The sequence below is a fragment of the Homo sapiens genome, chromosome 1, assembly GCF_000001405.40.
Source record: "Homo sapiens chromosome 1, GRCh38.p14 Primary Assembly".
Lineage (NCBI taxonomy): Eukaryota > Metazoa > Chordata > Mammalia > Primates > Hominidae > Homo > Homo sapiens.
The window spans coordinates 30,838,127-30,853,189 of record NC_000001.11 but is presented as its reverse complement, the minus strand read 5'-3'; the positions used below and the strand labels follow the sequence as shown (position 1 = coordinate 30,853,189).

At 51.0% G+C, this 15,063-nt stretch overlaps 1 pseudogene, besides 5 other annotated features; it reads right to left on the bottom strand.

Annotated features, from left to right (window-relative positions):
• Positions 2,416-2,916: an enhancer, noted in NCBI's record as "H3K4me1 hESC enhancer chr1:31323121-31323621 (GRCh37/hg19 assembly coordinates)". NCBI's record gives its function as "activates a minimal SCP1, AML or CMV promoter by ChIP-STARR-seq in naive H9 embryonic stem cells {active_cell/tissue: H9 hESC(naive)}" and the evidence as "EXISTENCE:reporter gene assay evidence [ECO:0000049][PMID:30033119]".
• Positions 2,917-3,417: an enhancer, noted in NCBI's record as "H3K4me1 hESC enhancer chr1:31322620-31323120 (GRCh37/hg19 assembly coordinates)". NCBI's record gives its function as "activates a minimal SCP1, AML or CMV promoter by ChIP-STARR-seq in naive H9 embryonic stem cells {active_cell/tissue: H9 hESC(naive)}" and the evidence as "EXISTENCE:reporter gene assay evidence [ECO:0000049][PMID:30033119]".
• Positions 4,948-5,751: an enhancer, noted in NCBI's record as "H3K27ac-H3K4me1 hESC enhancer chr1:31320286-31321089 (GRCh37/hg19 assembly coordinates)". NCBI's record gives its function as "activates a minimal SCP1, AML or CMV promoter by ChIP-STARR-seq in naive H9 embryonic stem cells {active_cell/tissue: H9 hESC(naive)}" and the evidence as "EXISTENCE:reporter gene assay evidence [ECO:0000049][PMID:30033119]".
• Positions 7,014-7,308: a silencer, noted in NCBI's record as "tiled region #1191; K562 Repressive non-DNase unmatched - State 20:ReprD". NCBI's record gives its function as "represses a minimal TATA promoter and a strong SV40 promoter by Sharpr-MPRA in K562 cells {active_cell/tissue: K562}" and the evidence as "EXISTENCE:reporter gene assay evidence [ECO:0000049][PMID:27701403]".
• Positions 8,363-8,882: an enhancer, noted in NCBI's record as "OCT4-NANOG-H3K27ac-H3K4me1 hESC enhancer chr1:31317155-31317674 (GRCh37/hg19 assembly coordinates)". NCBI's record gives its function as "activates a minimal SCP1, AML or CMV promoter by ChIP-STARR-seq in naive H9 embryonic stem cells {active_cell/tissue: H9 hESC(naive)}" and the evidence as "EXISTENCE:reporter gene assay evidence [ECO:0000049][PMID:30033119]".
• Positions 9,128-9,365, bottom strand: RN7SKP91 (RN7SK pseudogene 91; annotated as a pseudogene).

The window sequence follows — 15,063 nt, the reverse complement described above, 5'->3', positions numbered from 1 at the left end:
GTGCACCATTATGCCTGGCTAATTAAAGAACTTTTTTTTTTGGTAGAGTCAGGGTCTTGTTGTGTAGCCCAGGCTGGTCTCCAACTCTTGGGCTCAAGTTATCCTCTTGCCATGGCCTCCCAAAGTGTTGAGATTATAGGCACGAGCCACCACACCCGGCCTAGGCTCTTTTCTAAAGCACACTCTGTCACTGGGTCTGGGAAGTCCTCCCTGATCTCACCCCGGTCCAACAGAGCTGGGTGCTCCCTCCTCTGGGCCCAACGTTCCTGCTATGGCCCTCTCTCCAGGTACATCTCACCCTGTGCTCCAGTGAGGGACCCGCATAACTATGTCCTCCTAGGCTGGGAGCCCTCGTGTGTGTACTGCCTGCCTTTAGTTATCACCTCCTGTTCCGGCCTCCCTCCCTGAGCCTTGGTCCCACCAGCCCTTGGGTATCTGCCTGTGTCTCTCTATATGTCCTTGTGTGAAGGCATGTTTGTGTGTGTCTGTGCTTACGGGTGTGTGTCTGTGTATACCTATAAATCTATGCACCTAGAAGACTGTGGATGTGTGGTGTGACTGTGACCGTGGATGTTTGAGTATATGCATATGTGTCTGTCTGTGTGTCTGTGTGTGGTCTTTATATATGAATTATGTGTTCCTGCCTCAGTGTGACTGTGTGTATAGGACAGTCTGGGGTACTCCTCCCCTCTGGGACTTGGTAATATCGAGGTATACAACCGTAAACACACGCAGATCCACAGAGTTACAGATCCACAGAAATAGGCCCACACAGAGATACACACAAACACACACACGCGCGCACAAGCACACACACACCCCTGCCTCCCATAACCCTGCCCAGGGCTGGCTCTGGATGGTGCTACTATTCAGATGGCAGGCTGGGAGCCCTTGTCCCAGGCAGCCTGGCTGGGGTGGATTCCCGGGACTTCCCCTCCTCACATGAGAATGTTTTCCTGTGTACAAGCAGTGGCTAAGAGCCAGCCTCGCCATGCAACTTCCATTTCCACTCCTGAGGCCACACCTCTGGCAGCAGGATAGCAGGCTGGCCCTGTAGGCCATTGGTTCTGGAAAACACAGAGGTATTGGAGCCTCATCCAGCTGTCTCCCTTCTCAGACAACACTCCATGAGCACTGCAGTCTTCTAGCCATGGCATCTTAGAGCCACCATGACAGGTATTTATATTACTTTTTTTTTTTTGAGATGGAGTTTTGCTCTTGTTGCCCAGGCTGGAGTGCAATGGCATGATCTCGGCTCACCGCAACCTCCGCCTCCCGGGTTCAAGCGATTCTCCTGCCTCAGCCTCCCTAGTAGCTGGGATTACAGGCGTGTGCCACCACGCCCAGCTAATTTTGTATTTTTAGTAGAGACAGGGTTTCTCCATGTTGGTCAGGCTGGTTTCGAACTCCCGACCTCAGGTGATCCACCCGCCTTGGCCTCCCAAAGTGCTGGGATTACAGGCGTGAACCACCATGCCCGGGCAGTTATTTATATTACTATACCCTGCAGGTGCTGTGGGGCACACCCACAGGATGGGGAAAGAAGAGGGAGTGGCCCATCATTTATCAGGTAGATCCTGACATACCCCCAAAAGTCTATTCATTCCTGTATCCCCAGTTCCTAGTACAGTGCCTGCCACATAGTAGATGCTCAATAAATGTATGTGGAGCAAATTAATGAAGGAGGGCATTACTAGTCCATCTCACAGACATGGAAATTGAGGTTCAGAGAGGCAATTTGTTCAACAGTGACCAAGGGACAGAGACAGGATTGGAACCTAGGAACTGTCAAGGTATCAAGCCCCAGTTTGTTCCACTGTATACTAGGTTTACTCAAACTGAATAAGTGAAGTGTGAGCTCATCGCTGGGGCCCTGGAGGTCATCCACACTCATCTTCACTGCTTATTCTAAGTCTCAATTTCCCCATCTGTACAATGGGTTCAATGATAGCGTATCAGGTATGAAGTCACAAAATGGATGTATAAGAAATATAACTTTCTTTTTTATCACTGACCTGGATTTCTATTTTGAGCCCTCATTTCATTGAGTATAGCAGAAACATAATCTTAGTCATTTGGGGACCTCCTACCTGGGGATGATGTCTAAGTTGGGGAGACTGAGCAGAGGCGCTTTTGTAGTGACAGGCATGGGGGTTGGAGCCACGTCCTCGGGGTTGTCTGGCCCCTGTTGAGATGCTACCTCTCCTTTGTGGCCGGCACTCAGAGTCACAGCTACACTGACTTTTGTTCATCCCAAATCTGTCCAACTCCAGCTCTCAGCCCCTCCCAGGTGCACAGAGTTTGTTCTGGACCTGGGTGTGTGCTCCAAGTCCAGCCCCAGCACTTAGCAAATGTGACCTTAGCAATTCTCCTAACCTCAGTTTTCTTATCTATAAAATGGGGATAATAATTGCACCTGCTTCACAGGGTTGGTCATCAGAGTAAAGAAATTAATCCACAGTGAATGCTTAAAACAGCAGCAGGCACATGGTCACTGCTCAGTAAATGTGATTTTAGCTATTACAGTGATCTGTCCTTTTCTGGGGAGACTCAGCTCAGGATGGCGTGGAGGCCAGATGGGGCCCCTGCTCTCAGGTCACCTCTACACCTGCTAACTAATGAGAACATCCATCTAACTCATGAGGACACACATGGCCACCAGGCTGGGGACTGTCCTGGTGATGAGACAGCACATGGGGGGTCTGCACACATGCAGGGCTGCAGGGGCCTAGCAGGGCCTCAGCCCAGCTACATCCGGGAAACATCAGCCCACAAGCCCCTCATCTGTAGCCAAGTCTGTGACAGCTTTCTCTCTGGGGACTGCCTCCAGGTGCTCTCTGCCACCCCGCCCAGCCTGCGGTGCTGGAGGAGGGTTTCTTCCATACTAGCCTGACCGTGTCCCTGCCCTGCTCCCATCCCCTTCCCATGTGCCCCGTCACCTGCAGGGTCCCAATCAGAAACCTTCGTGTGGCCTTCAGGGCTCCCCACAACCAGGCTCCAACCTGCCTTCCCATCTTATCTCCTGCCGTTCTTTGCCCAGCATCCACTTCCTGCGGCTCCACTGCTCACTCTTTCCAAATTCCACCCCTGTGCTGTTTTCCTGCCTGGACTGGGGTCCTCTCCTCCAGCTGTGCCACTTAAAATGTAGTCTCTCCTGGACAGGTGTAGTGGCTCATGCCTGTAATCCTAGCACTTTGGGAGGCCGAGGCACGGGCGGATCACCTGAGGTTGGGAGTTTGAGACCAGCCTGACCAACATGGAGAAACCCCGTCTCTACTAAAAATACAAAATTAGCCAGGTGTGGTGGCGCATGCCTGTAATCCCAGCTACTCAGGAGGCTGAGGCAGGAGGATCACTTGAACCCAGGAGGTGGAGGTTGCGGTGAGCCGAGATTGCGCCATTGCACTCCAGCCTGGGCAACAAGAGTGAAACTTCATCTCAAAAAAAAAAAAAAATGTAGTCTCTCCTTGGAGCCCAGCAGCACGGCTGAGCCCTGGGCCTGGACAGGCTCAGCAGTGGGAGAATCAGAGACAGGGGTCAGGTGGGACCCCGGAGAAAGGTGCTTGGGGACAGTTGCAGCGACAGGCAAGAGGAGAAGCAGGCACGGAGGTGGGTTGGTGGTCCGTGCTTGGGGGCTGCTGTTCGAGAGGCAGGAAGGCTATAGAGTTAAAAGCTCCAAGCCAGACCCACTAGGTTTGAGTAGTGCTGCTGCTTTCTAGCTGGTGTCCCCAGGTAAATCGCTAAACCTCTCTGAATCTGTTTTCTCCTTTGTGAAAGAAGGTAAGAATAGTTGCTACCTCGCAAGATTGTTATCAGGGCAGAATGAGATGATATTTGTTTAGTGCCTAGACAGCGCCTGGCATACAGTAAGTGCTCAATAGATATGAGCTCTTCAGCTTGGGCAACATGGCAAAACCCCGTCTCTACAAAAAAGGCAAAAATTAGCTGGGCATAGTGGTGTGCACCTATAGTCCCAGCTACTCGGGAGACTGAGGTGGGAGAATCACTTGAGCCCGGGACGTGGAGGCTGCAGTGAGCTGGGGTTACACCACTGCACTCCAACCTGGGTGACAGAGTGAGACCCTGTCTCAAAAAAAAAAAAAGGCTCTTATTATTAGTGCAGCCTTTGGGAGGTTGGGGGCACAAGTCAGGATTTCAGACCTGGAGGGGCTGGACACCAGGCAGACAGTCAAAGCTGGGGCTGGTTGCTGGGGTGGGAGAATCAAAGTGAGAATAACAGCATCTACTGTCTGAGGACTTTCTGTGAGTTTGACTCAGGGCTGGGTGGTTTAGATGAATTACTTGTAAGATCTGCACCACAACCCATAACAGTGTTGTGGGTCTAATTGTGTCCCCCAGAAAAACAAGCTCACATTCTAACCCCTGTACCTGTGAATGTGGCCTTATTTGGAAATAGGGTCTTTGCAGATGTAATCAGGTCAAAACGAAGTCACAGTGGATTGTAGTGGGCTCTAATCCACTGACCAATGTCCTTATAAGAAGAGGGACATTTGGATACACACCTACACAGAGGGAAGACAAAGACGGGGGCAGAGATGGGAGTTATGCAGCCACAAACCAAGGAACATCAAGGATCTCTGGCCACCACCAGAAGCTAGGAGAGAATCATCCACATCATTTTCCCCCAGAGCAAACCCTGCCAAAAATCATGGCAGGAACCAACCCTGCCAAAAATCTTGTTTTCAGACTTTTGGTCCCCAGAACTAGGAGAGATTGAATATCTGTTGTCTTAAGCCAACAAGTTTGTGGCAGTTTGTTTATGGCAGCACTAGGGAACTAACATGACCTCTATTTCATAGACGAGGAAACAGAAGCTCAGAGAGGTTAAGTCACTAGCCTAAGGCACACAGCCGGCAAGTACCAAGGTCAGGATTTGCACCCGGGGATGCAAAGCCTCTGCTCCTAGCCAGTGGCATGTCAGACTGGCCACCTTGAGTTAAAGTTGTTTGTGCCCAGGTTTTGCAGAGTGGGTCTGGCTGGTCTCTGTGTCCCCAGGGACAAGTGTCACGAAGCCGGATGGTGTGTGCATGTTAAAGACAAAGGGGTCCTGCAGGAGACCCCAAGCCTCCTTCCTCAGGGCTCCAGCTGGGGAGGCGACAGTGGCCGAGGATCACATCCTAGGTCATCAGGGCACTGAAAAGTCAAGCTCCAGGCTCTGACAGTGTCTCGGGGGCCCTGACTGAGGGTCCACTGGGTGCCGAGGGCCCCAGATGAAGCTGGCCCATGTTTTCAGAAGACTCAGGTTTTAATCCCAGCCTTACTTCTCACCAGCCTTGTGACCTATGACCTGGGGCAAGTCACCTCACCTCCTTGGGCCACAGTTTCCTCATCTGGAAAATGGGCATGAGACTCTCAGGGCTGAGACGAGGGCAAGGTCAGAAAGCGCTTTGGGAGCAGCTGAGCTGGAGACAAAGGGCGATTGTTGCTGGTGCTTCTCTCACCCACACAGGGCCGCCCGCCCCGGGAGATGACGCAGGGAAGGTTGCCCCAGCGACAAGTTTCCTCCATTACAGAGGGGAGCTGCAGGGAGGGGAGGGAGGGGCTGGATGCAGTGGCCCGGATTCCCTCTGGGAAACAGGAAGTCCCTGCTGCCCAGGTCACTGCCCCGGCTGCAGGAAACCGGCTGACTCCGTCCGCTCCTGTTCCCCCTCCCAGCCCAGGAAGGGACTCACTCTCTTGTCACAGCCAGGCCCAGCTTCTGAAGGCAACTCTCAGACCTGCTGGGCCCCAAGAGGGGAAGGCACCTGCCTCAGGTCACCCAGCACACAGAGGCGCGCAGAAGCAGGACTCAGGACTCGTGGACTCTCAGAGCTTAGCATAACAGCGTCACTGATGGCTTTTGTCTGTGCCTTCCTGTCAGACTCTGCTGAACGCCCTACAAGTAACAGCCCATCCAGTCCTCAGAACCCTATGAGGCAGCTCCACGATTACCCCTATTTTACAGATGAGGAAACTGAGCCAAAGGTTTGTCCAATAGCCGCCCCAGGTCACACAGCTCATAGGTAGCAGCGTCAGGATTTGCACCAGCCAGTCAAAGCTGAATAAAGTCCCATAGCATCTGGCCCAGTTCTCCCATTTTGAAATGGGGAAATTGAGGCTAGAGAGGGGAAGGGACATGCCTCAAACCACACAACAGGTTAATGGCAGGCTGGGGCTGGCCTCAGGCCCCCTGGGGTGGACCCAGTTGCTTGCCACCCTCTTCATTTTTACTCACAGAGCCCAGACTTTCTTCATGGTGGCAAAAGGCGCCCAGACTAAAAGACCAAAACTGTTTTTTTTCCCCTTCTCCCTGGTTTATTGGGATGCCACATGACACATTCTAGCCCATGAAATCTGAGCAGGTTCACTGAGTGTGTCTTCAGGAAAGTCTGGAGGCCACCCAGGGGTATTATAGGCTTTTGGCTCCTTGCCAGTCCCCTTCCTCCTGCCCAGAACGCAGGCAAGATGCTGGCCCCAGAGCAGCCACTTTGTGGTCCTGAGGCCACGAATCTGAGGAGGAAGCCGTGAAACTGAGGAACAAGCCACAGGTGGAAGACGGCTGAGTGGAGCGAGGAGGGTGCCCAATGGCTTTGGGGTATGCTTCTCCCAGCCCGGGGTCTGCCTTCTCCTGGACTTCTTGTTAGGGGAGAACATCCCTCTGATTTAAAGCTCAGTTTTTTTTGTTTGTTTTTAATTTTGTTGCTTGTAGCTGATGTAGTTTTTACTTATTTGTGTCTAGACTGTCTGAGTCTTAAATTTTAATCAAGTTGGTGTTGCAAGAACCCTGCGGAAATATCTAGTTGATTTTCAAATTCTGTGCATCTGTGCTTTAGGGGAGCTGTGAAGCCAAAACCACTGATTCAAATTACACAGATGTGTATGCCTACCTCTCAATTTTCCAGGCATTACAGGAGGACCCCATCTCCTTGCTTATCAAAGAGAAGCTCTGTTTTTCTGCTGCTAAAAAATGTCTAAAAGCCACAACCAGTCAAACCGTTATGGAGAAGGTGAGGAAACTGAGGCTCAGAGAGACCGTGGTGGACTGAAGCTGAGGACAGCAGGGTCGGTAAAGACGCCCCACAGCACCTGGTGGTGGAGCAAGGGGCTGGCAGGCAGGAAGATTCCATGTCAGGTGGCAACCAGCCCCGTGAACACAGGTGCAGACAGGGAGTGCCTCTGAGATGCCTGGATAGAGGAATTCACTGTGACTGTTAGAGGAAAGAGGTCCGACCCAGACCCCAACACTGGTTCTTGGATCTCGTGGAAGAAAGAATTCAGGACAAGTCCCTACAGTAAAGTGAAAGCAAGTTTATTAGGAAAGTAAAGGAATAAAGAATGGCTACTCCATAGGCAGAGCTGCCCGGAGGGCTGCTGGTTGCTTATTTTTATGGTTATTTCTTGATTATGTGCTAAACGAGGGATGGATTACTCATGTCTCCCCTTTTTAGACCATGCAGGGTAACTTCCTTATGTTGCCATGGCATTTGTAAACTGTCATGGCTCTGGTGGGAGTGTAGCAGTCAGTGATGATGACCAGAGGTCACTCTCGTCACTGTCTTGGTTTTGGTGGGTTTTTAGCCGGCTTCTTTACTGCAACCTGTTTAATCAGCGAGGTCTTTATGACCTGTATCTTGTGCCAACCTCCTCTCTCATCCTGTGACTTAGAATGCCTTAACTGTCTGGGAATGCAGCCCAGTAGGTCTCAGGCTCGTTTTGCCCAGTCCCTATTCAAGATGGAGTTGCTCTGGTTCAAACACCTTTGACATGACTGGCACGGAACATGGAGCAGTGAAGTAACATGCAGGAGCAGTGGGAACACGGGCTGAGACGTCCCTGTCACTGCATTCTAGACCCTGGGCTCAATGATGGGGGTGCACTGGTGAGCAAGACAGGCTTCATCCCTGCTTCACAGAGTTCTGGAAAGTGCTCAGACGCAGGGTGCTTCACAAAGGAATGGCCTGCACCCACTTCCCTAGTGGAGGCATCATGGGAAGAGGCTTTGGCCAGGCATCAGGGACCATGTCTTCTCATTCCTGCTCAGCCGCTGGGCTGAGCCCCATCTTTGCCCTCTCTGGGCCTCTAACGTGGCTGGGGGAAGAGGAAGGGTGAGGTTCTTTCCAAGGTCTCTTTGTGCGCTGACATCCAGAGAGTCTGGTGTAACAGGAATGATAGATATTTTTACTGTACCTATGTGTTTCTAAACTGCTTTTATGCCACTCTCTTCCTTTTCAGCCAGAGGCACCCAGGGTCTTATAGAGCAATAGGATTGGGGATCAGGAGTACAAAAGGAAAGAATTGATGTTCAGCTTTTGACGGAATAGGATCCTGCAGTCTTTAGCCAGATAATGGTCTTGAAAGCCAGGCTTTGTTGAGAGAGGGGAAAGGCTTTCTAAGTCTCCAAAGCCGTCTTTGCATATCAAGAGCCCTGCCTGGCAGAGTCTGAGATCACAGGAGGAGTGTGGAAACGATGAAGGAGATGGAAAGGGACATTCCTACTGGACAAGATAAGCGAGCAGAGGGTAGGAGTGTCTGTGGGCACAGCGGGGGAGACAAGGATTCTGGTGAAGAGGGGCCAGGGTGAGGACAAGTGTGGGTCCCAAGGAAAGCCCTGAGGGCCCTCCCTCCCGGGCATCAGCCCCTGGTGGGGATGAGTCCACAGATACTAGAAACACTAGACTGAGTCCTAGAACATCCACCTTACCACTTATCCAGTGTGGGGAAGGAGGCGGGATTGTGGGGGTGAAAACACAACGTGGGTAGAAAGAGGGAGCTGGTTACGTGAGGTTGACTGAGCACTGGGGGGTCCTCATGACCTGGGCTGGGTGCACAGGAGGCCCAGAACTCCAGCATGCGCCTGGGATCAAGAGGCCAGCAGAGCGGGGCACTTTGTGGCCAGGAGGGAAGGGGGGCTTCCTGGGCCACAGCAGGAGAGGCTGGCTCAGGACCAGGTTGGTGAGACCCATTCCGTGGCTGATGCACTGTGGCCAGTGCTGAGAGGAGCAGGAAGAGGGGCCTTGAATGGGTGCCACCGTGGACCAGGTGTGTAACACAGCGACAGGAGACCCCACCCACTGCTCCCAGGAGACTCCCAGGTTCCTCCATTTGCCCCTTTCCTGGCTGCCATATTTGGACCTTGAGAACTTGTTGGAAGGTTCCAGAAGAAGAGTGCAGCTACTCATATACCCTTGACTGAAGAACAGTCCTCTATCGAGGATGGTTGTCCTCTTAGACTGAGTGTGCAGCTTCCGGAGGAATGCACAAGGGCGGTGAGGGAGGAAGGGGACACCCGCCTAGCCAGCCAGATCAGCAGAATCAACCCTGCGATCAATAGGGTGACAGATGTCACAGCCAGATCACCCTCACATTTAGGCTGCCATATTTGGAGGAGAAATGGGAAGGGGGAGAAATCTTGAAACATTGAGCATTCACCCAAGGCAATGGTGTAAACACCAGAGAGACCATATTAAACTGGAGGGGACAGAGCCCTGCTTAACTGGTGATGAACTTGCCAATTAAAAGTCCCCTCTTCGGCCAGGTGCGGTGGCTCATGCCTGTAATCACAGCAATTTGGGAGGCTGAGGCGGGTGGATCATGAGGTCAGGAGTTCGAGACCAGCTTGCCCAACATGGAAACCCTGTCTCTACTAAAAGTAAAAATATTAGCCGGGTGTGGTGGCACATGCCTGTAATCCCAGCTACTCGGGAGCCTGAGGCAGGAGAATCGTTGGAACCCAGGAGGTGGAGGTTATAGTAAGCCGAGATCGTGTCACTGCACTCCAGCCTGGGAGACAGAGCAAGACTCCATCTCAAAAAAAAAAAAAAAAAAATAAGAGTCCTGTCTTCTACCTTTATGCCCCATCAGTGGGATGGAGGTTGGAGCGTGAGATTAGGTCATGTGTAAGAAGTATGAGGAAGCTACATTTGCATTTGCTTTCCCTTTGTGCATCTGGATCCTAGTGCGTAATTCCAAGCTCCCTATATACCAGGAGAAGGGTATGCTCATCTTCACGTTTGTCCTTCCCTCCTCTTTGTTCAGGTTTTGCTTTGCCAGTTATGTGGGTAGAGGCTGGCAGTAGGGGTAGGAAGCACTCAGGTGCTATCTGCCTGGTCTGTTAGGAAGCATTGTCATATGTGCTGTCTTATTTGATTGTATTAAGGATAATCACTCCTACTTGGGGCAACTGAGGCTCAGAGAGGGTGAGCACTTTGTCCAAGGTCACACAGCAAGTTGGTGACAGAGCTGGGATTTGAAATTGGATCCTCAGATTCCAAAAGTCATGTGCTTCTCTCTTACGCAGGCACTCTGGGGAGCATTATGACCATGTGATTGATGATGGTGGTGACAAGGGCACGATCTACTTGGGAACCCTCCCAGCATGTGACAGGAGGCATCTACAGTGATTAGTCAGGGGCCACGTAGGGGCTGCCTGCTGGCTTCCGGCCTCTCACAGCAGTGGCTTCTGAGCCATTACTCTTTCTGCACTGTGTGAGGAGGCCAAGACGGAAAGCTTCAAATACGCCTGGCAAAATGATGTGCAAGAAAGGATCACGCATCTCATGCCAATTACGATGTTGGAAGAGAATAGAGTCTAATTATCCTACAATTACCTTTATTTATCAAACTCAGAGTGAAGCTTGATTATGAAGCGTCTCATGAGAGCTATCTGGGGTCGGAGGTGGTCTGTGTTCCAACAGGTATCCCAGCCACCGTGAGAGGAGAGACCAGCCTGTGGGGGCATCTGAGGAGCGAGGATAGGGCCTTGGGCTGGCTTGCAGTCTGTCATGCCCCCTTCCTGGGTGGCGTGGAAAGCTGAGACTCAGTGTGCACCCACCCTGTGCTTGACGCTGTGCTGAGACTTTTCACACATGCTGTGGAGTTCCTTTTGTGGATCACAAATGAGATACCATTTAATCCTCCAAACAAGGCTTGACCAAGGTGTCACTGGAAATCTTCCTAGGGCCCTCTGGGTGGATCAAATGACTCTCCATACCCCACTCCCCAGCCCTTGGTGGGGTCTTTACTGTCCTGAGGGTTGAACTGTCCAAAGCTGTCTTTGTCTGAACTGAGATTTCTGCAAAGGCCAAGACAATTTTTGACTCATGTTGGTATCCCCAGTAGTTGGTATCCCCTGGGACAGAACCTCCGGTAGAGTCTTTATAAATGTTTGTCGAATCAATGAGTGACCGTAAGGAAACTAAGGCTCATGAGAGGTTCAGTAACTTGCCCGAGAACAGACAGTTAATCATTCTCAGAGCCAAGAATCAATCTGTTTGAGAGCTTCATACTAATGAGAGGAGAGAGTTCAAGGGCTTTGAAAAGTATGCGGGACCAAGGATAAGCTAAAGGCACTGTCACCATCATTGCACGGTCACATGTCCACAATAAAGAGAGGACCACTGGGATGCATCAGAATACACATTCAGTGAACGAAAGAATGAATGGGGCACCATTTTATATGCTGCAGAGATCCATGAGATATGATCTCTTATGTCAAGGAATGCTCAGTTTAGTTGGGGAGACCGATCCAGAAAGACAGTGTGACACGTGCAGTAAATGCAGGGCTTCAGAGTCCTGTGTGTGGTCCTGACCCAGGTGGGAACCCAGAAGGTTTTCCTGGCACACTTGACACTTAGGGTGAGTCTTAACAGATGAGGGACAAGGCAGGGAGGAATAAATAAGCCAGGGAAAACAGCGTATGCATGGGGCCTGTGGGGAGGGAAGGCTTGGTGCAGCAGGTGCCGTGGGCAGTACAGCAGTCAGATCCACAAGTGAGCTTGAGGAAAGGAGAGGAACAAGAGGACAGATAATGAACATCTTGAGGGTAAAGAGTGGAGGAGGTAATAGGACATGGCGGTGATCTCAGGCATTAGGGAATATCCCAAGGAGAGGCAGAATTGGACTTGGAGAGCTGGAATCATCTGTCTCTGTCCAAGAGGGCGCTGGAAGCTGCAGGACGTGAGGTTGCAACCCTGGCCTGGCCCAGGGCCAGCCTGCTAAGCCAGCTGTCCACTCTGTCAGCTCTCAACCTGCAAGCTCTTAAGGTTCCCAGTTGCTGATCCGCCCTGCCATATCCAGTGGCACAAGAAAGGAGGAAGCAATTGAGGTTTGCTCAGTTTCCTCTAGTCCTTCCGCGAGCCCTGTGGCTGGCTCCAAGGAACAATGCCTCGAGACAGCGTTTTGCAGCAGAATGGTTGGAGGGGGCAGAGGTCAGGTCTCCTTTGCATTTGTATGTAGGCTGCTGCCTGGCCACAGCCCATGCTTGCCCAACTGTGGCTGAGCTGGCTAAAGGAACTCAGAAGGACTCAGCATTTATTGAGGGCATACTGGGGGCTTCACACGGTGCTGGGTGCTTGGATCTTCATAGCAGACCCGCTAATGGAACTCTGTTCTCCTTTTATAGATGAGAAGGCTGCTCAGGTGGGTTAGGGGGCTACCCATGGACAGGGAGCTCATGAGAGGCAGGGCAAGGATTTGGACTCAAGACCATCTGAGTCCACTGTGCCAGGCTGTCTTACCTGAGCTTCTTTACAGACCAAACATTTCTCTGGCAGGGCAAGGCCCTGCACGAGAGTCAGCAGGGCACAAGACTTTCCAGATGACAGGCACTGAAGGCAGGTATCAGCCTTGACAGGTGGGCCCAGGGCACATGAAGTAGGACGGAGCATGAGGGTTGGAGGAAAGTACTGGAAAAGCTCAATTGTCCTCAGCCAGTTCTGACCTTGAATGCTTTGGAGTGAGTGCTCTTCAGAGGAAGACAATAATACTATTGTTAGTCCTTTATATTTTATATATGTGGAGATATATATATATATATATATCTCCGTGTATTCACCCCAACCATCTACCCTCACATCTCCCACAAATATCCATCCATCCATCCATCCATCCAGCCATCCATCCATCCATCCATCCATCCATCCATCCATCCATCCATCCATCTATCCATCCATCCCTCCACCCAATCATCCATTCGTCCATTCATCCATCCATCCACACATCCAATCCCCTCAAGAATCCACCCATCCACCCACTCATCCATCTACCCATCCATCCATCATCCATCCACCCACCCATCCACCTACCCATCCACCCATCCATTCCCTATCCATCCACCCATCCACCCACCCACACATGCACGCACTCACCCATCCATCCACTTATCCATCTACCCATCCATCCATCCATCCACCCACCCACCTGTCTACCCATCTATTCCCTATCCATCCACCCATCCACCCAACCACACATCCACCCACCCATCCATCCACCCACCCATTCATCTACCCATCCACCCATCTACCCACCAACCCATCCATTCATCCATCCACCCGCCCATCCTCCTATCCATCATTCATTCATCCAGATGCCCACCCACACACATTGGTTAATTCAGTGGTTCAATGACAAGCTTCAAGGACCCAGCCTCTTTCTGCATGTTTGCTGTGTGGTCCTGAGAATGTCAGGCGTTTGTCTTCTCTCTCATCTCCTCATGGTTGCAAGATGGCTGCACCGTCTCTATGCATGTTATCCTCACACATTAGTGTTTGAAGGCAGAAGAAGGAATGTCTCCTGTTTGTGTTCCTCTAATGAGGAAAATATTCCTGGAGGGTCCCCAGTAGACTTCCCTTCATATCTCCTGGGCCAGAATTGCATCCTATGACTATTCCTAAACAACTGTCTGGCAAGGGAAAAGAGACCATCCTGATGGCCTTAAACTCAACAAGATGTATTGCCTGTGGAGAGGGCACAGGCTTCTCCTAAGCTGCAAGAGACTTGAATAAAATTGGGATTCATTTAGCAAGGAAGAAGGCAGAGGAAGAGGGGGGTGGCTGTTGAGTAGGCAAATGTGCCAGCCACTCCTTCCATCTTCCATTCACTCATCATCCACACAGCGATTCATCCATCCATGCAGCCCTCATTTATCCATCCATGCATCCATTCATCTATCAAACGTTTATTGATGCCCACTGTGAGCCAGGCCCTATGCTCTCGGGCTGGTGAGAACTCACAAGAAAAAAGATCTCGTTAGGGAGAAATATGGAGTTTCCCATAATACCCTGACAACGGCTTTATTTAGTCACAGTAAGAATAATATCTGAGGATCGTGCTGTGCATTGCAGTTTGCAAAGATCTCCCAGGACCACTCCTTCATTCCACACACATTTATTGAGCATCTGCCGCATGCCAGGCAGAGCTTTTTAGTTTTACAAAGTGCTTTTTCCTACATTTGTCAGAAGGATCCCTCCAAAGTCAGAGACCAAATGTTTTCCAGAGGCAGGAATGAAGCATCCCTTGGGTCTTCCTCAAAATCAAGAGTCCTCTGGGGCCAGGATTCTTGGGAAGCTTCTCCTGGGGGGAGGCAGACAGTGTTTTCCAGAGACAGGGCTAGAACTCTAGACTTTCTAAAACAGTAGACTGTGTGTTTTCCAGAGCTTGTGATTGGGCATTGTTCAGAGCTGGGGTGGGGGTTTCACAGTCCACACACAGGGTGTCTTCTAAGCTCGGTATGATGGAATTGTCGCTTTGCTCAGCACACAGGGGCATCTCCACTGGTTCCAAGGGCACAGATTTTTTCTCTGCCAAACCAGGAAGTGTCATGGCCAGCCCTCCAGGGACTATGAAGTTATAAACATAAATTTGTCCTTGATACAGATGCCTCCATCTGAGTTAGGCCCACTAGCCTGTTACTTGTCTACGCAACATATTAGGACCTCCAAAGTCACCATGATATCCCATCACAACTACTCATCATGCCTTGTTCCATCTTCTGGGGACCCCTCTGCTCACAGTATGTCAAAATGCCTGTAAACACCATGTCCATTCATGTGTCAGCTAGGAAATGAGCCTTACCTACTGGGTGATCAAATTCTAGGTCTCCCGGATCGGAGGAAATGCTTTAAATATATATGTGTTATTAGAGCTATTAAGATATTGTCAGGACCTATTAGGCCATTAGGAATGTCAGTTTTTCAGAGCATTCTTGCCTTTCATGTCCTCTTAAGTCTTTGAGTTGACCTCATTGGTTTAGAGAGAGGATGCCATAAATCAAGTGATACGGGGTTA